Source organism: Homo sapiens, chromosome 21 (genome assembly GCF_000001405.40).
Source record: "Homo sapiens chromosome 21, GRCh38.p14 Primary Assembly".
Taxonomy (NCBI): Eukaryota; Metazoa; Chordata; class Mammalia; order Primates; family Hominidae; genus Homo; species Homo sapiens.
The window spans coordinates 39230510-39258314 of NC_000021.9; the positions used below are offsets into that span (position 1 = coordinate 39230510).

A 27805-nucleotide genomic window follows, 5' to 3' on the forward strand; every position below is an offset into this window, starting at 1 on the left:
CTGTAGTAAACCAGTGCATACGTAACTTGGTTTTATGCGTGTTTCCGTTTAAAGGTACCTTATTTAATATGTTGTTGATTTGCAAACATTTAACTGATACCTGAATGAAGCTTATCTAACATACCTTCTCCATAAGGCACATCTCAGCCTTCTAGCACTTAAGAACACTAGAGAGCATGTCAGCACTACGCTTAGGGGCCATTTTAAACAGCAAAGTCACCAGAAAAAGCACAAAAATGGAAAACATGTGGCACTGAATAGACCATGAAAAGGACACTTGTTTGCAGTGCGAGAGCTTAAAAAAAAAAAAAGGCAGAGCAACACCTTGTTCAACCTCAACTAGAAACATGCTCGTCAGGCAAGTCAAATTTTTCACCACCCTGAGCATGTCCAGAAATGACCAAAAGGCTCTGAGAGTACTGTTTGGGGGATTACAAATAAAGCAAGTACGCAGTTCACAAATACAGAATCCAAGAATAATGAGGATGGACTGTACTTAGGTACACAGTCCTAAGTTAAACAGACATAAATAAAACCGCCAATGTATATAAAGCCTAACTTATACAAGCAGAGCCATTAAGTTGAATATAAGTGTTAAAAACAGCTATATTTGTTAAAATAACTAGCATTTTCTTCATTTTCTAAGTTTTTAAAAGTATCAAAATCTGTAGAATAAAAATATAAAAAATAAAAAAACACGTGTACTACTACCCCACAGATCATCACCATTGACATTTTGATGTTGTTCTTTTGATTGGCTGCAAATGTTTTCAAAATTTTGCTACCATAACCAGAAATACCACTTCACACCCCATTTTTCCTATTAGTAATACACTGTGAAAATGTATCCATCATTCATTCAACAAATATTTTTCAACCTTCAAGTACAAGATGGGCTGTACATAGTAAGTGACTGTGTGAATGCACCATGATTTGGTTCATTCACTATTGTGGAATATCTGAATTTTTTTTTTCCAGCTTTGTTTCTGTCAACAGTGAGTGAACTACAATACTCATATATTTACAAGCATTTCTGCTTGTTTTCCAAATTACCAGAAGAGTAAAATCACAGAATTAAAAGTTCCAAATATTTTTCAGTTTCAACTACTATTAACAAAATATCCCCTAGAAAGCCTGGACCACTTCACACACCCCACCAGCAATCTGAATAACTGTTAACAAACCAACATCTTTGCCACTTGCTAAAATGTGGAATTCTTTCTTGAGCTAAAAACAAACGAAATCACAAAATTGGCTAAGTATTGAAAAGGAAAAATTATTATTTCCTTATTTTATTATCCATGAGGTTAAACCCTTCTTCCAGTTTTTATTTCTTCTTTTGAAAACTTGCATTTCTTCCTCTGAAAATCTGTCTTGGATACATAAACATTTTTAAGAGTGATAATATATATATTGCCAAGCTGCCTTTCTGAAACTCTAGGTTGTTGCATTTAACATTTTACACACCAATCAGCAACATACAAATTTTGCCCACTGACAAACAAGCCATTCCCACAGGATCTTAAGGTTTGGTTACAGCAGAAATGTTATCAAGTAGGAAAGAAAGTAATAAAATATGTTTCCAACAGGTTTTTAAATAGATTTGTAAGTAATTTAACTATGTATGTGCTAAAATGTTTAATGATTTAATAATGCCATCATCCTACCCTAAGATCCATTTTTCTCCATGGCTCCTTATTAGGGTTCAGTTCATAAATATTATTTCTTCTTACAGCCTCAATATAAGCTTCATGACCCTGTCGAAAATATATTACCTACAAAAGGGAAATATGCATTTAAAAATTAAGAGCAATATAAACTTTATGTTCCATATTCGTGTTTTTAAATTTGTATTACTCTCACCTCATCACCCATTTGAGGAACAAAAGGAGATTTTCTAAGTGTGGTGTCAGTAATCCAAACTGGAGGGTGAAATTCATATAAATGCTCCATATTTGCAAGCTCTGCTGGAGTCATCCTCCGCAAATTCTACCAAGGGGAAGAGAACAAAGTTTCTTAGATTAGAAAGGGGCAGCATGCACTGTCTGAATGAAAAATAAAAGAAACTTTCACCATTCAGAATGACTATTTTTGCCATGTCCATCTAATGATTAGTTTTCACACAGCATATATATTTAGTTCCTTTACACAGGAATATATCACTTAAAAAAGCATTGTAAATCTACCTAACATTTTCCTAGCATCATCTCCTAAATTTCTGATAGATTCTTCATGCTATTTTACATCCCATTTTAGGGGGCTAATACCCAGCCTAAATCCTCTTTTACCCATAGCCTGTTCTGCCAAGACTCCACTCTGAGTTTGGCCACAGGCTAATCATCACAAGGAGTCTCCTCTTGATTTTAGGTTGTAAGACCGGTGATTTCAAAATATGCCTACAAATTCCCCAATAGTTCTCTCCTTTTCAAGAAGTGGAAGTCTCCTCCTCTTAAGTGTGGACTACACTTAATGACTCACTTCTACCAAATATAATAAAGCCGATGAGACTATGTGCAACTTCTAAGACTAGGTCATAAATGGGGGCTTATCCCTGGCTACTGTTAAATCATTCACTCTGAGGAAAATCATAACTCAAGCAGCCAGCTTGAGTTGAAAATCAACACTCAAGCAGCCAGCTAAGGAGAGACCTGTGTGGCAAGGAACTGAGGCCAAAAGCCATATGAATAAGCTCGGAAAGAATATCATCCAACCCTCATCAAGTCCTCAGATGACTGCAGCCCCAGTCAACATGTTGTAACCTCATGAGCCAAAATCACCCAGTCAAATCAGCTCCCAGTTCCTGATCAACCAATACATGAAATATGCAACGTTTGCCATGTAAACACCTAAATTTTAGGGTGGTTTGTTATATACAGCAATAGATAAATACAAAGACTTAACATCTTTAAACAATGACTACCTGCTTGAAATCAGCACAGTGTACACAAATAAATAGGGATGTTATTAAATGAAGAGACAAGTATGAAGACAGACATGTAAAATGAAAATGGTAAACGTAGCAATAACACACACACACAAAAAAAAAGCACCTTAAAATTCCTTGAAGTCTACTACTAGTGTTGAAATTGACAGGAGAAAATAAGTGTTGCCGTGAGATTCTGAGCAAAATAGAGCTTTCTCTTTAAGTTTCAGATTTGGAAAGGTTTAACTGTCAAGCCCACTACTCAGAACAGTGGAGATGGAGAAGTGTTAATAATAAAGTAGCTTGGCCGGGCGCCATGGCTCACGCCTGTAATCCCAGCACTCTGGGAGGCTGAGGCAGGTGGATCACTTGAGGTCAGAAGTTCGAGACCACCCTGGTCAACATGGTGAAACCCCGTCTCTATGAAAAATACAAAAACTAACCGAGCGTGGTGGTGTGTGCCTGTAGTCCCAGCTACTTGGGAGGCTGAGGCAGAAGAACTGCTTGAACACGGGAGGTGGAGGTTGCAGTGAGCCGAGATTGCCCCACTGCGCTCCAGCCTGGGTGACAGAGTAAGACTCTGTCTCTAAATAAATAAATAAATAAAAATAATTTTTAAAAAGTTTATGTGTGACTTCATGAAGTGTATCAAAGTCAATCATAAAACAATATAACAATCATTTAAACCAACAATCAAAAGCCTCTAACTGGAATGTATCTTTTTCATTATTTGGTTATGATATATTAATACCAGATCCTGGGGAAGCAACAATGAGAGATGCAGAAGCATTCCTGGCCCTGAAGAAGCTTACAGTCTACTGGGTAATACAGACGCTGAATGAACAATTACAAGTACAATACAGAAGGAGCTTATGTTTGGGAAGCTAACCTCTTAATGGAGGGATGGGATTTAGAATCTTTTTTACTGTTATCCTATATATTATTAAGAAGGCATGGAAAGCTTAAGAAACAATTACATTAAAGCAACATTTGAGACAAGGTAAAGCTGAGGGGGAAAACCACAGCTTTTGCTTTGATAAAGATAACCTATATTCGAGTCCAAGACTTAAGGTACTCTCAAAAAGTAACTAAAACTTTATTTTTACTTAACCCTTTGTTTAGATACTTAAACCTGAAATTAAGCCAAAAAGCATAATATGAGACCCCAGAAAACTCACACCCCACTCAACCAACCCAGAGTTTTTACAATTTAAATGGGGCAAAAGATTTCAATAGCACCAACAGCTCAGGGAACATGTTAAACCTCTTGTCTTATATCCAGAAAATCAGAAAACTGGGCTAAACACGATGTATTTCAGAAGGTGTTTAAAATTATTTGCATGATTTAACCTCGCCAAAACAAGCTTGCTAGTTTAAAGACACCTTTATACCAATGCTTCACATCATCAGTGAAAACTGTTTATCAAGAGGGAGCAGTATGGAGTACAGAAACAGCATGAACCAAAATCTCACACTTAATCTTTTAACATTAATGGAATTTCAGAGTAAGTAAATATGACTAAAAATTACAGCAATGGCCAGGCACAGTGGGTCACCTGTAATCCCAGCACTTTGGGAGGCTAAGGTGGGCAGATCACCTGAGGTCAGAAGTTCGAGACCAGCCTGGCCAACATGACAAAACCATGTCTCTACTAAAAATACGAAACTTAGCCAGGCGTGGTTGCGTGGGCCTGTAGTCCCAGCTACTTGGGAAGCTGAGGCAGGATAATCACTTGAACCCAGGAGGCAGAGGCTGCAGTGAGCCAAGATTGCACCACTGCACTCCAGGCTAGGCAACAGAGACTCCTCTCAAAAAATAAAAAATAAATAAATAAATAAATCACAGCGATGGCATAAAGCACTGCTTTGTTTTAAAACTGCATGTGTGTTTTGTCTCCAAGACCTTAATCAACACCCTCAATGACAGCATTCTTATAAATGATAGCCAACTGTAGGTCCTTGCTGTGGCTTCTCTTCTGTGTAAGTATGTACGTCTTTCTCAGTATCATAGTGAACCCTACAGTAAACTGCCTCTCCAGCATTGCTCAAAAGTTACTCCGTTCATAGTGAATTAAGCAAGGTAAAAGAATCATGGAGTGATTGCTACAGAGATGGTCCAGTGTTTGGAGAAGATCTGTGAATGTTTCTTCTAAATATATGATATCGGCTCCAAGTATCAGGTCAAAATCTCTAGGAGAAAAACTCCCCAAATTCTTTCCCCAAGTCGGCTCCTTAACAAAAGCTCTGGGTTGGATACAAGGAGGTAAATTGCCTTGAACATTTGATTTACAAAACTCTAATGCTACTTTTCGATCTATGACAGTCACATGAGCACCCAGCAGGGCAGCCACTATGCCCATCAGCCCTATGCCAGCACCCAGTTTCACTGCGGGGCAGCCCAAGAGCTCCACAGCTCCCATCTCCAGATGTGTGGAGAGAACCATGGCCACATCCCAAACCACTGTGGCAATTCCCAGTTGTCTCCGGTCCTGCCAGATCTGTGTCATGTGGTTCACAAAGGTGGCAAGAGGCTTATGGAATTTCTGCAACCCCAATCCCACGGTCTCCTCATAGGGCAACAGGGCCAATCTGCCTGCACCCAGCCCTCTGACCAGACCTGCACTTAGACTGGATGTTAACGGTTTGAGATTATCCTGCCTTTTGACACAGCCAGAAACATGCAGTCATGGCAGTTCCATCTCCTCAAGACTGAAGTGAACGACACTGGTGGACTTCAAGTCTCTCGCGGGGAGACCAGGGCCCCAGTCCTGCAAAGGACTCCGCATCTGTGAAGCAAAGGCCTCCCCCATAAGTCCCACTATATCTGCCCCCACCCATCCCTCCAAAGGACTGACAGATGCTCCCTTCCTTCCCACAGGCCCCAGAGCTCCTGCTATCCACAGGGGTTGAAAGTAGGAGACAGAGGAGTCCACAGTGCCCTTCAGAATCCCCAAGACACACAGGGTACCTGCTGCACCCTGGGAGTGCAGTGAGCTTCCCCAAGGAGGGCTGACAGCTCGCCCAGACCAGCCCCAGAGCAGGGCCCAAGACACCCAAGGCACCACTATGCCAGTATCACGAGAAATGTTAAAACAACATTTGAAATGGGGTAAAGCTGGGGTATCATGATACATGCTATTTTTAAAGATACGTTTTTCTTACCTCCTTCTTAGGCTTATTTTCTTTCTTTCTCTTTCGTCTTCTTTTTGGAGGAGATAAATTCTCAGTAGATATTTCATCTTCTGAACTACTACAAAATCGAGTAATTCGTCGACGACATGATGTTCTTAAAGGAGGCTGCAAATTGATGCCCGCATCAGCTGTCCAATCGGAATATCTAGATGAAGAGTCACTAGAAAAGGGGAGTGCTTTCAGTTGAATGGAGCCAGAATATAAGCACTGATAGCAAGTCAATCATATAAAATTGAGGGAACAGAGAGAGGAGAAAAAGGGAAGGGAAGATACCAGAAAGACTTAACTTGAGCATTCTCCCCTCACTACCAGCAAGTACTGAAGTGACTAAAGATCATGACAAACATAAGAGAAAAAGAGAAATCTTCACTAACACTAGAAATTAGGAAAGGATGTAAACCCGAAAAAAAAAATTTAGGTATATTGTAGATAAAATATGATGGAAGACAACTAGCAATTACCCCTTCAAGGAAACAAAACACAGACTTATAGAAACATAAGAATCATACAAAACCCCAAAAATAGGCCCCACCACTACCCCCATGTTGGAGGAAGCTGAGGTATAGACCAGGAATTTCAACTGGAATCACAAGCCATCAATGAACACACTGAGAAGCCCAAGGGAAGCATAGCTACACCAAACTGAAAGCCTTAAGTAGTCAGTTTCTTGCCAAGAGGAGTCTCCCTGATAGAAAGAGACTAGTCCTAGTCCTTAGCAAAATCAGAGTCAAAGAGGAAACTAGTTATAGAAAACTAGTCCCTGGTCCACTACTAGCTTCACCAAACAGAAATAATAATAAAAATAAAGGACTCTACTTGGGCCATCCTTGGCCCAACTTCAACCAACCACACACCTTTTCGTCTCTATCAAATACACAGGTAAACACATTACAAAAAGGTATTTATTAGAAAAAGAGCTTATTTATGAAAATTATAAAAGCATCTGTTTTAGATAAATAAAATTCAAGAAAAGTTGAATTAGAAGACAATGAATGAAAACACGGAAGGTAGAATAGTGGTTGCCAGGGACATGAGGAAGGGTAAAGAAAAGAATCATTCTTTAATTGGTATAGAATTTCCGTTTTGCAAGATAAACAAGGTTCTGGAGACTGGCTGCACAACTATGTCAATGTACGTAACAGTACTGAACTGCATGCTTTAAATGGTTATATTTCTGTTATGTGTATTTTACCACAATTAAATTTGTTTAAAAAAAGATAATACATTATGTTCTTAAAAAAATCATTCTAGCTCCTTATCATAATGAAGTAAAACAAGACAAGAAAGGAAGCAGAGAGTATGTGATAATGGTTTGAACCAAACAGTACCAATTAAAAAAAAAAGAAAGATGATCTGAGTGATAGGAAGGAGAATTTTCTAGCCATGTTACGGATAGGTGGACAAGAGAGATTAAGGTCCAGTTTTCTGGATTGAGGATCTGTTGAGATGAAGGTGACGTGCACCAAGAACCAGAGGCTGACATTTTGGACCCAGGAAATCTGGATCTCAAAACTAACAAAAATTCAACACATGCAATAATAATGAATATACTGTGGTTTTACCACACATACTTTAGATACTAGTCTTTTTAAGTGCAACCAAGATTAAATTTATATTTTCAGTATGCATGTTCAACAGTGCTGGGTCAACTGCTTAAAGTCAAAAAAAAAAAAAAAAAAACTCCTGAAATACTCCTATAGGAACAGCTGTTGGATCTAGTTTTTGTCTCCTTTTAAGTGTATTAAAAACTGTTCCACAGTTGCAAATTCTTGCCTCTTGAATAAAATTCAAGTATGATTCCATCCAAGACTATGACTAAAATGCTTAAAAGACCACAACAATAAAAACAGATACCTTGAACTTTCGCTGTAACTCTCACTTTTTCTGTCACTTCTCCATTCATCCTCTTCTGAAGAACCAGAACCTTCACTCTGATCACAGGAAGTCTCCTAATTTGTGAAGGGGGGAAAAAAATCTTGATCCCTGAAGTTAAACAACACATGTCCAGAAAAAAGCTGTACACAATCCTCCCCAGTAAGATTAAATCATCTAAGAAAAATGAACAGTAATCAGTAAATATATAATCAGATAAACTTAAAAAGCAAACTTCTTCACTACATCCCTTTCTTATCAAAGCATAAGACAAAAAGAGAACATCCGTAAGATTTAACACTACCACCATTAGCAAAGAAAGTGATACAACAGGCCATTCTGAGTAAAGTTAATAAAAAGTCAATGTAAATGTTTTCCATTTTGGACTTTAGCTATTCTAATAGATGTATCTAATTGTTGTTCTAGTTTTCAATTCCCTGTGACATATTTTGGTAGCTTTTCATATGGTTATTTGTCATCTGTTTATCTTCTTTGGTGAGGTGTCTGTTAGATCTTCTGCCCATTTTTAAATTAGGCTGCCTTCTTATTGCTTGGTTTTAAGAGTTCTTTGTATATTGTGAATATAAGTCATTTATCAGATATAAGTTTTACTAATATTTTATCCTGGTTTGTGGCTTATCTTTTCATTCTTTTAATAGTGTCTTTCCCAAAGCAGTTTTCATTTCAGTGTAGTCCAAATTTTTTATATTTTTTCTTTCATGATTGTGCTTTTGATATTGTATCTAAAAAGGTCAATGCCACACTCATGGACACATAGATTTTGCCCTTTGTTATCTTCTAGAAGTTTTATGGTTTTTTTGTTTTACATTTACATTAAGCTTATGATTCATTTTGAGTTAATTTTTGTGAAAGACTGGTGTCTAGGATTTATTTTGTATGTGAATGTCCAGTTATTCTACCACTGGCTGAAAATGATAAATTTGTCCACCAAGTTCTCTTTGCTCCTTTGCCAAAGATCGTTTGAATATATTTGTGTCAGTCTGTTTCTGGGCTCTTTATGTTGTTCCATTGATCTGTTCTTTCACCAGCATCACTGTCTTGAAAACTGCAGATTTACAGTAAGTCTTAATGCCAAGTAGAGTGTCAGTCTTTCAGTTTTATTCTTCTTCAGTGTTGTGCTGGCTATACTGGATCTTCTTCCTCTCTATATAAACTCGAAAAATCAGTTTGTCAGTAAAATTAATTTGCTGGGATTTTGTTTGGGATTGTGAATCTACAGATGATGCTGGAAAGAATTTTTTAACAAGGGTGTGGATCAGCAGGAACTCTCATTCATTACTGATAGGAATGCAAAATGGTACAGCTACTTTGGAAGACAGTTTAGCAGTTTCTTATAAAACTAAACATAATAAGATCCAGCAATCACACTTGATGTTTACCCAAATGAGGTGAAAAATTATGTCCGCACAAAAACCTACACCCAGATGTTTATACCAACTTTATAATGGCCAAATCTTGGAAGCAACCAACACATCCTTCAGTAGGTAAACTGATAAAACTATGGTATATCCAGACAATGAAATATTATTCTGTGCTAAAAAAAACAAACAAACAAACAAAAAAATCAAGCCATGAGAAGGCATGTAGGAAATGTAAATGCATATTAATAAATGAACGAAGCCAATCTGCAAAGGCTACTAGCTATATGATTCCAATTACATGGCATTCTACAAAGATAAAACTATGAAGACAAAAAATCAGTGATTGTCAGGGGCTGTTGGGAAGAGAAAGATGAACAGATGGAGCACAGAGGATTTTTAGGGCAGTAAAATCATTCTGTGTGATATTATAATGGTGGATACATGTCATTATAAATTTGTTAAAAAATTAACTGGGCATGGTAGCACATGCCTGTAGTCCTAGCTACTCAAGAGTCAGAAGCTGGGAAATCACTTGAGCCTAGGAGTTCGAGGTTGCAGTGAGCTATGATTGCACCACTGCACTCCAGCCTGGGCCATAGGGCAAGACCCTGTCCCTAAGAAAAAGAAAAAATCAAATAAATATATCCCCAAATGACACTTCTAGCAGTACAAAAATACGTATACAAAATATTATTCACTGTAGCATTATTTATAATGTAAACATTGGAAACAACCTAACTGCCCATAACCAGGAGAACGATTCAATAAACTGTTTCAATCATGCCATAAAGTACTACATAACTCTTAAAACAAATAAGGATCATATGGAGTGATCTCAAAGATATTTTAAGTGAAAAATGTCAAGTGTGGGACTATCTGTAGTATGCTGTATTTTGTATAAGAAGGATAAATAACTTTTGAAATATTTGTACTAAATACAATTTGGTTAACGACAAAAAAAGAACAGTAAGTAAATAACTAAACTCTACATACTAGGGTTTTTACCACAGGGTAAGTAAATCTTTTTTTTTTTGTTTTTTGAGACAGAGTTTCACTCTGTCACCCAGGCTGGAGGGCAGTGGCACTGTCTCGGCTCACTGCAACCTCCACTTCGTGGGTTCAAACGATTCTCCTGTCTCAGCCTCCCAAGTAGCTGGGATTACAGGCACCCGCCACCACGCCCAGCTAATTTTTTTTTTTTTTTGTATTTTTTGTAGAGACAGCCTTCAGCCACCCAGCCTAGTAAATCTTAAACTACTTTCTGTGTATGTAGAATTAAACAAATAAGTTTATGATAAATAACAGGGCTGGGCATGGTGGCTCACGCCTGTAATCCCAGCATTTTGGGAGACCAAGTCGGGCAGATCACTTGAGGTCAGGAGTTCAAGACCAGCATGGCCAACATGGTGAAACCCTGTCTCTACCAAAAACATAAAAAAATTAGCCGGGTGTGGTGATGCATGCCTGTAATCCCTGCTACTTGGGAGGCTGAGGCAGGAGAATCGCTTGAACCCAGGAGGTGAAGGTAGCAGTGAGCCAAGACTGTGCCACTGCACTCCAGCCTGGGCAACAGAGCAAGATTCCATCTCCAAAGTAAAAAAAAAAAAAAAAAAAAAAAAAAAAAAAAAAAAAAAAAAGATTTAAAAATCTAAATAAATAACAGGAGCCAGGTTTCTCTGTACAGAAGGGAAGTACAAACGGGTATCATTAAAATCAGAATAATGTGAAGTCGTGCATAACAATGACAGATATACAGACAAAAAAATACATGTGTCTGCATATAATATGTATACACAGGCATACTTTTTATCGTGCTTTACTTTATTGTGCTTCACAGTTGTGTTTTTTACAAATTGAAGTTTTGTGACAACCCTGAACCCAGTAAATTTATTGGTGCCATTTTTAAACAGCATGAGCTCATTCTTGTCTCTATGTCACATTTTAGTAATTACCATATTTCAAACTTTTTCATTTTTATTGTATCTGTTACTGTGATTTGTGATTAATGATCTTTGATGTTACTATTCTAATTGTTTTGGGGGCACTAGGAACAATACTCATATAAGATAGCACACTTAATGAATACCATGTGTGTTCTGACTGCTCCAGTCTATTCCCTGAGATACAATATTGCAATTAGACCTACTAATAACCATACAATAGCTTCTAAGTATTCAAAAATGAAAGAGTCACACATATCTTACTTTAACTCGCAATGTAGAAATGATTAAGCTTAGTAAGGAAAGCATGGTGAAAGCCAACACAGGCTAAAAGCTAGGCCTCTTGCACCAAGTAGCCAAGTTGTGAATGCAAAGGAAAAGTTCTTCCAAGAAATATAAAATGCTATTCCAGTGAACACACAAATGGTAAGAAAGCAAAATAGCCATACGGCTAATATAGAGAAAGTTTTGGTGTCTGGATAGAGGGTCAAACCAGCAATAACATTCCCTTAAGCCAAAGCTTAACCCAGAGCAAGGCCCTAACTCTCTTTAATTCTATGAAGGCTGAGAGGTGACAAAGCTGCAGAAGAAAAGATGGAAACTTGCAGAGGTTGGTTCATGAGGTTTAGGGAAAGAAGGCATGTCCATAACATAAAAGTGTAAGGTGAAGCAGCAAGTGCTTTAATGGAGAACCTGCAGCAAGTGATCCAGAAGATCTAGCTAAGATAATCAAGGAAAGTGGCTACAATAACAGATTTTAAATGCAGATGAAATAAATAGCCTTCTATTGGAAGAGGATGACATCTAAGACTTTCACAGCTAGAGGGACTTATGGCTTCAAAGCTTCTAGGACAGGCTCACTCTCTTGTTAGGGCTAATGCAGCTGGTAACTTTCAACTGAAGCCACTGTTCATTTTTACCTTTTCAAAAATCTCAGGCCCCTTAAGAATTATGTTAAATCTGCTCTGCCTGAGCATAAGAAATGGAACAACAAAGCCTAGGTGACAGCACATCTATTTACAGCATCATTTACAGCATGGTTTACCAGATATTGTAAGCCCACTGTTCAGACCTACTGAGCAGAAAAAGAAGACTCCTTTCCAAATATTACTGCTTGTGGACAATAGACCTAGCCATCCAAGACCTCTGATGGGCACATCAAAGGAGATTAATGTTGTTTTCATGCCTGCTAACACCACATCCATTCTGCAGCCCATGGATCAAGGAGTAAATCCAACAATCAAGACTGTAATTTTACCATAGAGAAACCTGCAAACACCACCACCTTAGGAAGTGATCAAAGCACGTATCACCAGTAGTGGGACAAAACAAATCATGTGCTTTCTGATGTGATGCACTGAGAAGAACAGTATATTTTCTGTCATATTACTGCCAAAAATGCATGACCCTAATCATCAAAATTACCAGTCATAAATCATCAAAAAATATCAACATTAAAACAAAAATCAAGGAACTAGACTAGATTCAGGTTACTAAACAGACACAACAAAATGTAACACGTGATCCAGGATTTTATTTTGCTATGAAAATTATCAGGACCATTGACTGGTAAAATTTGAGTAAGATCTGCAGATCTGATAATGACATTATATTGTTGTTTATTGCCTCATTTTTTGTTTTTTTGACACAGTGTCTCACTGTGTCACCCAGGCTAGAGTTACACTGGCGCAACCAAGGCTCATTGCAGCCTCAACCTCCTAGGCTCAAGTGATTATCCTGCCTCAGATTCCAGAGAAGCTGGGACTACAGGTGTGTCACCACACCCAGCTAATTTTTTTTTTCTCATTTTTTTGTGGAGGAGGGCTTGCCCCGTATTGCCCAGGCTGGTCTCGAACTCCTGGGCTCAAGCCATCCTCCCACCTCAGTCTCCCAAAGTGCTGAGAATTACAGGCATGAGACACTGCACCCAGCCTGATTTTGATAATTATATCACTTGTTTTTGAAAATACACAAGGAAATATGTAGATATCAAGAGGCATATGTACAACTCACTCTCAAAAGGATTAAAACATATTCATACATACAGGAGAGTGATAACAGTCAGGGTGGTAAACACAAAGGAATTTTTATTATTCTTAGAACTTTCAAGTCTGAAATTACATCAAAATAAAAAATTTACACCTGACAGATAGGAGGCATTCAATAAATTTTTTTTTAAGTTTAATTTCCCCAAATCCTCAAGTGAACTGATGCTTCGGTAAGGCAGGGTTTCTGCTCTGAGATCATGCTGCTAACTTTTTTTTTTCTTTTTTTGAGATCTGTCGCCCAGGCTGGAGTGCAGTGGCGCGATCTCGGCTCACTGCAAGTTCTGCCTCCTGGGTTCAATGCCATTCTCCTGCCTCAGCCTCCCTAGCAGCTGGGACTACAGGTGCCCACCACCATGCCTGGCTAATTTTTTGTATTTTTAGTAGAGATGGGGTTTCACCGTGTTACCCAGGATGGTCTTGATCTCCTGCCCTTGTGATCCACCCACCTCGGCCTCCCAGAGTGCTGGGATTACAGGCATGAGCCACTGCACCCGGCCCATGCTGCTAACTTTTTATATAAATGTGGGAAAGTTACTGAACCTCCATATCTGTACCTCAGTTTCCTCATTTTTAAAAGAGATTATAAGAGTGCCTGAATTCCTACTTGTTGGAATGATGAAATTAGATAACGTGTAAACCATTTAGAATAGTGCCTCCCAGGCATAATAAAATGCATTAATGTTTAGCCCTTTTATAGCACTTTTTACATATTGATTGTATGATTTTGTATATCCTTGACAGTAATTAATGTATTTCCACATCAATAATGATAATGGCACTACATACCACCCTAGCCTTTCTAGAATGACCTTACGTAACAGTTTTCCCAAAGGAAACCATCCCATGTCTACTGTGTTGGGCAAATTCAAGGTACTTGAGGCGGAGAGGTTGGAACAGAGCTGCATGGTAAAATAGTTATTTCCAGACTAGGATACTACACCTTCCTCCCAAAGGCAAAGTCTATATATAACCCTTTATTCCAAACCATGATACAACCTGACTATCCAATTGCTTAAGTCATACAATGTAAGTTACATATAGAAACTTTGGAAGAAATATATATATATATATATATATATGCAGAAAAAGAAAAGAGAAAAAGGTCAACCAGCATAAAAATGACAGATAATAAAATAATTATTTCCTATTATATCCTGGGGGACAGAGCAAGACCCCATCTCAAAAAAAAAAGAATGTAAAAACATTCTCATTACATAATATAATAGTTTAGCCAGGCAGGGTGGCTGGTGCCTGTTAATCCCAGCTACTTGGGAGGCTGAAGGAGGAGGACAGCTTGAGCCCAGGAGTTTGAGGCTACAGTGAGCCATGACTGCACCATGCACTACAGCCTACGCAACAGAGCAAGACCCTGTCTCAAAAAAATAAAAACAGTTTAAACAGATGGTTTTAATCATAATCGTAGCTAACATTATTGTGTATTAGGCACTATTTAAACACATTGCATTACTGATTAAATTAATTCTCACCACACCTCTGAGGTACATGTTACCACGCCTCTGAAGTACATATTACATAGGCAGAGGCACAGAAAAGCTAAGCAACATGACAAAGTAAAAGAATTTGGATTTAAACTCAAACCCCATGCTTAATTATTAACCTACTGCATCATAAGACAATTAAATGAACTTTTCAGTCATATCTAATACTTCATTCCTCAAAACATTACTCAGTCAGGAAATTTTAACACTGTAGTATTAAATACTTTTTTTTTTGGTTTTTTTTTTTTTTTGAAACAAGAGTCTCGCTCTGATGCTCAGGCTGGAGTGCCGTGGCGCAGTCTCGGCTCACTGCAACATCCACCTCCCGGGTTCAAGCTATTCTCCTGCCTCAGCCTCCCAAATAGCTGGGATCACATGCACCTACCACCACGTCAAACTAAATTTTGTCTTTTTAGTAGAGACAGGGTTTCACCATGTTGGCCAAGCTGGTCTTGAAGTCCTGACCTCAGGAGTCATCTGCCCACCTTGGCCTCGCAAAGTCCTGGGATTACAGGCATGAGCCACCGTGCCCGGCCTATTAAATACTCTTTACCAAAAAAGTTGGTTTCTCCCTCAAACAAATCAAAATGAAGACAAATAGCTTACATATGATTATTAAAAATCAATCAAAGATATTAAACAAAGACTTAGACACAACAGTAAAAGAAGCTACTAAGGAAAAAATAAAATGAATGTCATCAATATTTAAAACTTTCATCCTCAAAAGACACCACCAAAGAAGTGAAAAGACAACCCACAGAATGGGAGAAAAATTCTACAAGTAATATATCTACAAGTCATAAAGGACTGTATCCAGAACATATAAAGAATTCTTACAACAATAAAAAGACCCCCCAAAAAAAGTGAAAAATAAGCAAAAGATCTGAAGAAGCATCAAACATGTTCAACATTACTGGTCATTAGGGAAATGCAAACTGAAACCAAGAGATACCACTTCACGCCCATTAAGATAGCATAAATAAAATGGAATAATAACAATCATTGGTGAGGATGTAGAGAAACTGGAACTCTCATATTTCTGGTGGGAATATAAAATGGTAGAGCCAATCTGAAGGAGTCTGGAGGGTCCTCAAAAAGTTAAAACATAAAACTTGCCATACGACCCAGCATACCATCTCCTAGCGTGACCCAAAAGAAATGAAAACATATGTCTAAACAAAAACCTGTCATGAATGTTGATAAGCAGCACTATTCATAACAGCCAAAAAGTGGAAACAATACAAATGTCCATCAACTGATAAATGGATAAACAAAATGTGGTACATCCAATGGGAGAATTACTAGGCAATAAAAAGTAAAAAAAGAATGAAGTATTGATACATGCTACACAAATGCTCAACATACTAATCATTAGAGAAAACATTATGCAATGTCAAAGAAGCCAGTCACAAAATCATATTTTAAGAGCCCGTCCGGCTGGGCGTGGTGGCTCACGCCTGTAATCCCAGCACTCTGGGAGGCCGAGGCAGGTGGATCACAAGGTCAAGAGATCCAGACCATCCTAGCCAACATGGTGAAAACCCCTTCTCTACTAAAAATACAAAAATTAGCTGGGCCACCACTCACCTGTAGCCCCAGCTACTCGGGAGGCTGAGGCAGAAGAATCGCTTGAACCCGGGAGGCAGAGGTTGCAGTGAGCCGAGATCGCGCCACTGCACTGCAGCCAGGCAAGACAACGAGACTCCGTCTCAAAAAAAAAAAAAGGGCCCATTCATATAAAATGTCCAGAACAGGCAAATGCAGAAAAAGAAAATGTATCAGTGATTGTGAGGGGCTGGGGGAGAGGGAGGGACTGGCAAGTGACTGTAAATGGGAATAGGGTTTCTTTTAGGGATGATGAAATGTATTAAAATTTAATAGAGGTGACGATGGCCCAACTCTGTCAATATACTACAGGTTATATACCCCTTATCCAGAACGCTGGGGAATAGAATTGTTTCAGATTTCGTATTTTTCCAGATTTTGGAAAATTTGCATTTGCACTTACAGGTTGAGCATGCCAAATCCAAAAATCCAAAATCTGAAATGCACACTAGAACATCATGTTTATATACAGAAAGTTTCAGATTTTGGTGCATTTCAAAATTCTGAGTTGGGATGCTCAACATGTAAAACCACTGGATTGCACAAGTATACAGTATGTGACTATCTTAGCCATTAAAAGTTTTTGTTAACATTCAAAATGTGAAATTTCATATTAATCTCTGCAGAATGCTGTGTTTTCATATAAATTTGGGGTATATTCATTCAAAGTAAAGAATTAAGCCAAATTCATTTAAGATTATCTTATAACATTTTAAAGTTTTCCACTCACATGTCTTACAGAGCTTGAAGACTCATTTCCAGAAGATAACTCACGCCAGCTACGATTTCTTCTACCATAATTTGGATATTTACGCCTACATGTCCTTTGTCTAGACTGTGATACCAAAACCACTGAATCCGACTGAAACACAGAAAAACATGCGAATGAAAATCAACACCTAAATAAGGACAATATCAACAAAATGGGCATTCCGTCAAGTTTCCAGAAGGATTTAAAGCAAAAAGAAAAAAAGGCTTAAAAAGAAGGTAGCATTTTTGCCATACAGTTTTAACTCAAGCTTAGTAGTTTTACTTTTAAGGTCCTTAGAAAACATGAGAAAATGCACATTAGATGGGCATTTTCCAAACTATGCTGTAAGTTAACTGGTTTACCACGAATGAGGGAAAATAACAATAATCTGAAAAGGATGTCACCTTAAAAGTATACATCTCAGAAATGAAAAATACATATTCGTACATTATGATGCAGTAAGCAACTTCTCAAGGAATTTCTCACTATCTCTATACATAGGTGTAAAGAAAAAATGTTCAACATACTAATCATTAGAGAAATGCAAATCAAAACCACAATGAGATACCATCTCACACTAGTCAGAATGGCTATTATTAAAAAGTCAAGGCCAGACGCGGGGGCTTACACCTGTAATTCCAGCACTTTGGGAGGACAAGGCAGGCAGATCACTTGAGCCCAGGAGTTCGAGACCAACCCAGGCAACATGGAGAAACCTGCCCCTAAAAAACAACAAAAACAAGAACAAACAAACAAAAAACGAAAAATTAGCTGGGCATGGTGGTACACAGCTACAGTCCCAGCTACTAGGGAGGCTGAGGGGGGAGGATCACTCAAGCCCAGGAGGTTGACGCTGCAGTGAGTGAGCCATGATTGCACCACAACACTCCAGCCTGGGCAAGAGTGAGACCCTATCTCCCAAAAAAAAAAAAAAAAAAAAAAAAAAAAAAAAAAAAAAAACACTGGGGGGTGGAGGGCATCAAAAAATAGCAGATGCTGGTGAAGTTGCAGAGAAAAGAGAATGGTTATACACTGCTAGTGAAACTGTAACTTAATTCAACCACTGTGGAAAGCAGTTTGATGATCCCTCAAAGAACTTAAAACAGAATTACCATTCCACCGAATAATCCCATTACTGGGTATATACCCAAAGGAAAAGAACTCATTCTACCATAACGACATATATACACCTATGTTCACTGCAGCACTATTCACAATAGTATAAGACATGGAATCAGCCTAAATGCCCATCAATGGTAGACTGGATAAAGAAAATATGGTATATATAAACTATGGAATACTACCCAGCCATAAAAAAAAAACGAGATCATGTCCTTTGCAGCAACATGGGTGAAGCTGGAGGCCACTATCCCAAGTGAACTAACATCAGAATAGAAAACCAAGTACCACATATTCTAACTTACAAGTGAGAGCCAAGCATTGAGTACAGAAGGGAACAACAGACATCAGAACCTACCTGAGGGCACAACGTGGAAAAAGGGTGAGGACCGGGAAACTACCTATCAAGTACAATGCTTATTATCTGGGTAACAAAATAATCCATACACCAAAACCCTATGACTCGCAATTTACCTATATAACAAACTTGCACATATACCCCTGAAGCTAAAAGTTTTCTTTTTAATGTTCAAATATTAACTGTAAGTATGTGTATTTTCAGGTTTTTAATGTTTACATAATTTGTTGTCTGTGCTTTTCAGTTCTGAATGTTTTAAATATATTTTTATCAAAACAGAATAATCATTCAAAATCAGCCAAATAAAGTAACTATATTGGTTTTAGTTTTTTTAAAAGGCATGCCATTCCCCAACCACAAAAGCAGATGAGATTACCCAATGAGAGCACATATTCCTTACATTTATGCACAAATCAATTTTCACATGAGTGGCCATCTGTCTAATGAGCACTGGTCAGTTTTAGAATTTCAACATTATCACTGGATGATCTTAAAATGAACTGAATGTTCCTTAATTTGTCAGTACTGATTTTGGCAAAAACTCGTATTAATGAGTTTCACGAGTGATAATAGGTTAACATGTAGGTGGGCCAAACTTTCACTAAGAAAAACTAGAAAATCTGGTAAAACATATTTTTTAACAAATCTGTTTAAAGGCACTTTATGCCTTAAAAGGTTATGAAGAATCACAGAACCAAGATCAAAAAAAGAAGGGGGGTGTGTGTGTGTGTGTGTGTGTGTGTGTGTGTGTGTGTGTGTATACACACACACATAGATATATATATATTTTAACCCTAGAATTTCATTCTGGAAGAGGAAGCTGGAAGGTTTAGCAAGTAAGCAAAATCACAGACTAACTCATGAGTTAGGCTAATAAACTTGCAATTCATGGCCTCCTATATGTAGGGGACTCCCTCGGGCTTTGGCTGTTAGCCCAAAAGGCTACAGCCTAGACCTGTAGGTAAACTACAGATAGAACAGTAATCCCAAGGAACTAAGGCCCATTCTTGTTCGGATAAGGCAATAAGGCTTGAGAGTGGCCCCAGAAGGCTGCCAGAAGTCAATGTAAATCGTCTCTGGGAATAAAGCCATCCTGTGCTTCAAATCTTTTCTAACATTTAACAATCAAAAAAGAAACAAAAATATGATGATAAAAAAGGAGAAAAATCAACAGGCAATAGAAAATGGTCCACAGGGAAGCAAGACATTGAAAAAAATGAAATTACCAGACCTGTTTTTAAAATAGCTATGGCTGCTTTCCAAGTAATTAAAACAATGAGAATTTTAGTAGAAAACTGAGAGCCCTTAAAAAAAAAAAAGAAGAACCAAATGACAATTCAGAATCAAATAATTTAGTAACTAAAATTAAGAACTCAATACCATTGTTAGGCACTAGGCAATTTTTCTCAAGTTTTCAAACTACTCCTTTCTAACAGCTATATAACCTTAAGTCTACTATTTTAAATCTCAAACAGAAAACCTTAAGCAAGAAATACTCCACTTCAGATGAAAGTTACTGATAGTTTTATAAATCAAAAAGAAAACTCTATATTTCAATGTAATTTCTAATTTGCTAAGAAAACAGAATTTAGGTTACCTTATGTGAGAGCTGAAGAGTCTTTCTTTTTCTTCCTATTATATAAAGATTTCTTTCCTCTTCACCTTTCTCTAATCGGAAGTCTTCCAGCTTCCTACAAATTTAAATACCCAGTTATATTAACTACTGAACTGATGGATAACTAAAGGATATAAAGAATAAAAACCAGTGTGATTCTATAAATCATAAGTTTATGTACTTTAAAAATACACAAAATCTCTGAAGTTAAAACATGTTAAAAATTTATATGAATATAAATAAAATCTCAGAGGCAGTTAAACCTATTTTTCATATCAGAGGCAAAAATATTCATTCGTTTTCTGATTGGTACTATCAGGACCAATTCAAACAGAATCTCCCATAATAGCTTTTCAAAACGTCTTCATGATTTTCCAAGATTGCAATTCCTTTCTCTAAAGAAAAAATAAGCAGAGTCTGCCTTCTCCACATTTATTCAAGCTATGTTTGATAATTTATAGAAAACAAGAATAGCAATGTTACTGGTTTTTCTAATCACCTATATTTCACTCACATGATACAACAAAAAGATTATGTTATTGTGACCAATTTCAAAGCAAAGGACCTGCCACCAAGAAGAAGGTACTAAAAATCATTTTTCTTCTCTGGAAAAGACTGACTGTCCCTTTTCTCCAACTGGAACATTATTAAAAACACGTGGCTTTTATGTTTTTGTTTACTTTAACATCTCAAAGGAAAAAGATTTATACTGAAATCTTGGCCATGTTCCAAGGTATAACTAGACACTCAACAGAGTGTAAGAGTAAATGCTGTAAGGATAAAAACTGATTTTTAAGAACACTGCATTTTTCTCTAAGTACGCCAGACAGCCCACACTCAAGATTACAGTAGAACATTATTTTATCCAGCGGGGATTTCTAAAGCAGACTCAACCTTTCACAGGTTGTCAATTTCACTGCTTTATGTGTGTTTAAGGAACCATATAACGAGATTTTCAGCTTGCAGCCAAATGAAAGTCCCACCTGATATCTGTATGTTTCCCTTTGACAATAAAGCAATACATACAATTGATTCTCAATCAATAAAACAAAGGAACACTTGACATAGGTATCATTTTCAGCTGCATGCAATTTTACTCCTAATGAGATGGTCAGCTAAGAAAAGTGGTATTAGCAAAGATCATAGAGTGTATATAAAAGAATTTTTATACGGCCGGGCGCAGTGGCCCACACCTGTAATCCCAGCACTTTAGGAGGCCAAGGTACATGGATCACCTGAGGTCAGGAGTTCACGACCAGCCTGGCCAACATGATGAAACCCCGTCTCTACTAAAAATACAAAAAATTAGCTGGGCTTGCCAGCTACTCTGGAGGCTGAGGCAGGAGAATCGCTTGAACCAGGGAGGTGGAGGCTGAAGTGAGCCAAGATCACACCATTACACTCCAGCCTGGGCAACAAAAGCAGAACTCCGTCTCAAAAAAAAAAAAAAAAATTTATAATGAATAGAATTTCTACCGTTATTGGATCAAGACAAACTACGTGCCTGAATCCTAGGCACAAAAAGAATTACTTATACTGGCAAGCAACATTATATGCTCATAGCTCTGCACAGCTGTCATTTACCTTTATGCTTTTATATCTATTACTCCAATTTTTCACATTGGACACAAACTTTTATAGTCAGAAAACAAATTTTTAAATACTCTTCATCCTTATCAAATGATATCCTAACATACAGTTATGAAAAATTCACCCTTGTTTCCACTATTGGAACTGTTGTCATGGGCAATGATCACCACATCTCAATCAATTATCGCCTTTATAAAATTTCACATGAGCTTTCTTTTAGAATAAAATGCTAGAAAGAGCTATGTTCTTTTTTGTGAAAATTATATTATGGCAGATAGCTAGCTGCCGTTCTCCTTTTCTTCCTTAGAAACACAATACCAATTTTTATCCAGGTTCTTTGCTGCTCTAAATAGATACTGTGTTACCTACTCTCCTCCTTAGCTTATTATGGTCAAATGACAACATTCTGGTCAATGAGTTATAAGCAGAAATGCCACATGGCTACTTAAAGTAAGTTCCTTTGACTAGAAATGCCCTTTTTGACATCTGAACATCTTTCTTCTTTTCTTCTAAATTTCAACCTACATCACAAATACAGATATGTAATAGCTACAGCTTCAGCAGCTATCTTGGACTATGCGGTGACCTTAAGACTAGAAGCCAAGGCTGGATGCGGTGGCTCACGCCTGTAATCCCAGCACTTTGGCAGGCCGAGGCAGGTGGATCACCTGAGGACAGGAGTTTGAGACCAGCCTGGCCAACATGGTGAAACCCCATCTCTACTGAAAATACAAAATTAGCCGGGTGTGGTGACCCATGACTGTAATCCCAGCTACTCTGGAGGCTGAGGCAAGAGAATCGCTTGAGCCCAGGAGGAGAGGCTGCAGTGAGCTGAGATCATGCCACTGCACTCCAGCCTGGGTGACAAAAGCGAAACTGTCTCAAAAAAAAAAAAAAAAAAAAAAAAAGGACTAGAAGCCAAGCTCCACGATGGGGATGAGAAACACAGGAGTCTAAGTTCCTGATTAACTGTGGAACCACTATTCCAGCCTTAGATTATTTCTAGTCTTCCTTCGGATAAGAAAATAAATGCTTGTGTTTTAAGAAACTAATTTTTCAGGTCTTTCTCTCTTGACACCTGTTTGCTTCCCTTGGTTTTGAAAAAGCATCCCAAAATGACACTTTTGGTTCTGATGACCATAAGACTTAGACGCCAATTTAAAACTTAATTACAGCATACTATATACATATTGATTTTCTGTATTTCTCATCACAATTCCACATTTTGCTTTTCACTATTTTCTAGTCCTTCCCAAATTCACAGAACAATATATAAGTACTATCTAATAACACTCCAGCATTCACTGAAACTCTTCTGGTTAAACATATAAAAACACAAAGATAAATTTACAAAATTATCTTCAAGCTATTAAGTTATTATGACATACAAACATGAGAAAATACTGAAACATTTTAGATATCATTCTAAAAAGTATTTCCTGTTTCCATTTCAATAACTCAAATCAGTACATTACAACTCAGCACCAAGGACACTACTGCCCATATTATAATTACAAAATATCATTTCTACACTTGATCTTAGCCAAAAGGCCAAGAAGCAATATAAAATATCATTTCTTAGGCTGGGCGTAGTGGCTCACACCTGTAATCCCAGCACTTTGGGAGGCCGAGGCAGGCAGATCACCTGAGGTCGGGAGTTCAAGACAAGCCTGACCAACATGGAGAAACCCCGTCTCTACTAAAAATACAAAATTAGCCAGGCGTGGTGGCGCATGCCTGTAGTCCCAGCTACTCGGGAGGCTGAGGCAGGAGAATCACTTGAACCCGGAGGCAGAGGTTGCAGTGAGCCAAGATCGTGCCATTGCACTCCAGCCTGGACGAGAGCAAAACTCTGTCTCAAAAAAATAAAAGAAATAACATTTCTTACTAAAAGAAAATAGGGCTGCTTAATTTCAGATATAGGTCAAAAATTTACAAGATGAACTATAATATCTTCCCCTGTCTCATAGTAAGGATGCTATGGAAAACTACTAGTCATTTTGAAAGGACAGGGAGCCTTAGAAAAGAGGCTCCTCATGGCTAGAAAAGAGATGATTTAAACATCAATAAAGAATATCAGAAATAAGTTAAACCCCAGCTATTTGATTTATACATTAAAACACACACACATACAAATTGGTCGCTGTTGAATAATGAAAAGGAATAAATCTTTATTTTGAGGGGAAATAAAGCAAAATAATCAAGCCATCTACTCTGCCTTTCCTACACAAACTTTGCTACTTGAAAACTAAGTATACTTGGGTTTCTTTTTTAGATTTCTTTTTCAGAAGTGTCCAAGATAATAAATGAAGAAGTTTTCATAGAGTTAAAAATCATGATTATACAACAGCTAATAAATTAATGAATCTACACATTAAGCACTGATAGCTGCTAACATCACAAAAACCGAGGAGGCTATTTATGTGTGCCTTCTGATAGAATTATCACTTATGAAGCAGTCTTGCAAAAAACTGAAAACATTTATGACACCTGAAACAACTGGAAATTTAAACACAGCCTGGATATTTGGTTATACTGAGAAACCAAGGTACGGTTTTTTTAAGGTGTGATAACAGCATTATTTTATATATTTTAAAATTTCTTATCTTTAGAAATACACACTTATACGCTTATGGACAAAAATAATATTACATCTAGAATTTCTTTCAAAATAATACTGAAAGGACAAAAGTGGGTGTGTGTGTGCATGGACAAAAAAAGACGGAGCCGGGCGTGGTGGCTCATGCCTGTAATCCCAGCACACTGGGAGGCTGAGGCAGGTGGAGCGCCTGAGGTCAGGAGTTCGAGACCAGCCTGGCCAACATGGTGAAACCCTGTCTCTACTAAAAATATAAAAAATTAGCTGGGTGTGGTGGCGGGCGCCTGTAAGCCCAGCTACTCAGGAGGCTGAGGCAGGAGAATCGCTTGATCCCGGGAGGTGGAGGTTGCAGTGAGCCGAGATCATGCCACCGCACTCCAGCCTGCGCAACGAGAGCGAAACTCCGTCTCGAAAAAAAAAAAGAAAAGAAGCAAGACTGGCTCTGAAAACCTTTAATGTAGTAAAAACATTAGAGAATAATTCTGACATTTTCCTACCACAATTAAGATAGTAAGATTCCCACTCATTACTAATATATTTATACAATTATTTACACAATTAATGGAATACAGAATGTGTAAATAACCATATAAATATATTTTCACAGATAGAAACATTATAAATAGATATCCTAAAACAAACCTAAATATGCCTAGTGGTACCTCTGGTACAACCACTCTTCGTTTCCAAGCCTGCAGGTCACGTTCTGTAGCAATCTGACTGCGTGGAGCGTTTTGATGCATCTGACGAACACCTTCAACTTGTCCACTACGACGCAGACCAATATTTGGAGGGGACTGAATGTCTAAGCTCAGCCTTCTAAAACCTAGGAAAATATGATGGGGAAGTGATTCCAATACACTTTTAAACTAATATACATTTAGCATGTAACAAGCACACGTTCACCTAAGATGCGCACCAAAAATAAAGAACTAAGAGAAGATAGTATCTACTGAAAAAACTTTGTGAGAAAAATCTTTTTAAAATTTATTTTCTGTACAGACAAGGTCTTGCTATGTTGCCCGGGCTAGTCGCAAATGCCTGGCCTCAAGCAATCCTCTTAACCACGGCTTCCCAAAGTGCTGGGATTATAGGCATGAGCCACTGCACCCAGCCTGACAGAATCTTAACATGACTAAGATCAAAATGTAGAATACGGAACAAACATTAACTATTAAACCTCAATTTCAATTTTTACTAGACTTTCTGAAATTATAAAATGTACATTTCACATTACATTATATATGCATTCCTAAAAACTGTGCCTTCTTAAAAATTGCACACTAAAAAAAGTCTTTTTGAAAAATTTGCACTGAAGACAGATACCTGAAATCAAAGTGGTTTTACAAGAGCTCTTGCAACAGTAATCATGATTCTCATGATTCTCAAGAGATAATCTGAGCCACCAAGGCAAGTAGCTGTCAAGATGGTTATTAAAAAGTCAAACAAATAAAATGTTGTGGGTAAATGCCAGTCGTGCTTAAACTAAAGCTGGGCAGGTGGGTGATGAGGCAATGAAGACAACACTGACGCTCTGAGCCTGAGGGGCTGCTGTTAAGGTGGGTATAGGAGGCTGCGCAACCTCCCATGAGCTGGAAGCCACAGAGGCTGTTAAGGTGGGTATAGGAGGCTGCGCAACCTCCCATGAGCTGGAAGCCACAGAGAGACTAGCCTCTGAGGAGGAAGTCCTAGACAAAGTGCTCATTTTCTTACAACAGAAGGTGAAGGGGCTCCTGCTACTAACACAACAGAAAAACTGAGGGTGATATTGATTCTTGTGGGAGGCTATGGAGCTGTACTCCAGCTGTGCCAGCTCTTCTTGCCTAGGGAAAAATCCACGAGTGAATGCAACTTCTGCACTCTTCTATGTACCACACTCTATTTACCAATCACATGTGTACCAATGTGCATTAGAGAACACACTATGCTTCACCAACTTCAAATGGCATTAAATGCCCCGCTAGTAAACCAAGCATTTATATTAAAATACTATATATTGAAGAAACATTTTTGAACTGAGAAATATAAATTCTAAATTTAACTGCCCAAGTCATAGCATTATTCTCCAACAATCTGAAAACATGCATAAAGTTATTTATCACATCACTTATAACAGCAAAGCATAAGAAACAACCTAAATGCCCATAAAGAGATTAGAAAGGTTAATTACTCCACACAGAGGAGTAGTATGAAGCTATTTAAAAAAAAAAAAAAAAAAATAGGATGAAGAATTCTGTGAACTGATACGATTTCTAGAATATATTGTTAAGGCAATACAGTAGGTGCCAGAAGAATGCGTTTATGTATCTTGTGCCTCTTGCCATGACAGACTGAGGACATAGCATCAACTATTCAGTATTCCTGTCTAAATGCTTAACCTGAACCCAATTATGAGGAAATAATTAGACAAATCTAAATTGAGAGAAATCTTGTGAAAACAACAGGCCTGAAGCTTTCCAAAGTACCAGTGCTCTGAGGAAACTTTTCTGGATTAAAAGACATAATCCTAAAATGTAATGAGCAGGGCTAATTAAATCCTAAATTTTTTTTTTTTAAAAAAGGCCATGAGGAAGGACAGTTAGTTATTGGGACAACTGGGGAAGAGTAAGTAAGGACTCAAAATTAGATAGCAGTGCTATATCAACAATTATCATATTCAGCTTGTTGAATGTGATCACTGTATTATGGTTATGTAAGAGAATATCTCTGGTTCTTGGATGATACAGGATGAAGCATTAAGATATAAAGTGTCACAAGTCTTACTTTCAAATGCTTCTGAAAAAAAACACATAGGAATGTGTGTGTGCACACATACACAAAAAAAAGCAAAAGCAAGTATAGTAATATAAGGAATCTAGGTAAAGAATATATGGCTGTTCATTGTATCCTTCTTCCAACCTTTCTTTCCAAAATAAAAAAACAAAGTCTTATGCTGTAAGTTTAAGAGAAAAAAAGTACTATTTTAAATGAATAATGAAACTTGTTAATCATATTGGACTAGAAACAAAGTAAATAGTGGAACTAACTGAGGGGAGACTGGTGATTGTTATGTATTTACTTCTACACTGTACTTTTAAGGACTCAACACTGAAAACTCACTAAGTTTTCAAACTTTCTGATTCAATAAGAAAAATCATACTCTACCCAATACAGTTTTTCAAAAATTACCAATGTTAAAGCAAAGAAAAGCTAGAACTATGGTTTTATTTTAAAAACCAATCTGTTATTCGCTCCTATTTAATACAATTTTGTAAATACTGTATTTTTAGAGTACAAAAGGCTTCAGCAGTACTTGAAATTCAAAGACCCATT

General features: G+C 37.6%; 1 protein-coding gene and 1 pseudogene across 8 annotated transcripts in view; both read right to left on the reverse strand.

The window, feature by feature from the left end:
- BRWD1 (bromodomain and WD repeat domain containing 1) overlaps positions 1–27805 on the reverse strand; it is a 137037-nt gene that overhangs the window by 46334 nt on the left and 62898 nt on the right. For 7 of the 8 annotated variants that reach the window (XM_017028373.2, XM_011529611.2, NM_018963.5 and 4 more), the window contains 7 exons: positions 25136–25319; positions 20287–20380; positions 17192–17323; positions 7970–8064; positions 6086–6275; positions 1864–1989; positions 1668–1775 (listed from right to left, as the gene is read on the reverse strand). In XM_017028373.2, coding sequence (XP_016883862.1) covers positions 1668–1775; positions 1864–1989; positions 6086–6275; positions 7970–8064; positions 17192–17323; positions 20287–20380; positions 25136–25319 — 929 coding nt within the window. Of the gene's footprint in view, positions 1–1667; positions 1776–1863; positions 1990–6085; positions 6276–7969; positions 8065–17191; positions 17324–20286; positions 20381–25135; positions 25320–27805 lie in introns of those variants that run through there. The other variant, XM_011529613.2, reaches the window with a different exon arrangement.
- METTL21AP1 (methyltransferase like 21A pseudogene 1) lies at positions 4819–5541 on the reverse strand (annotated as a pseudogene).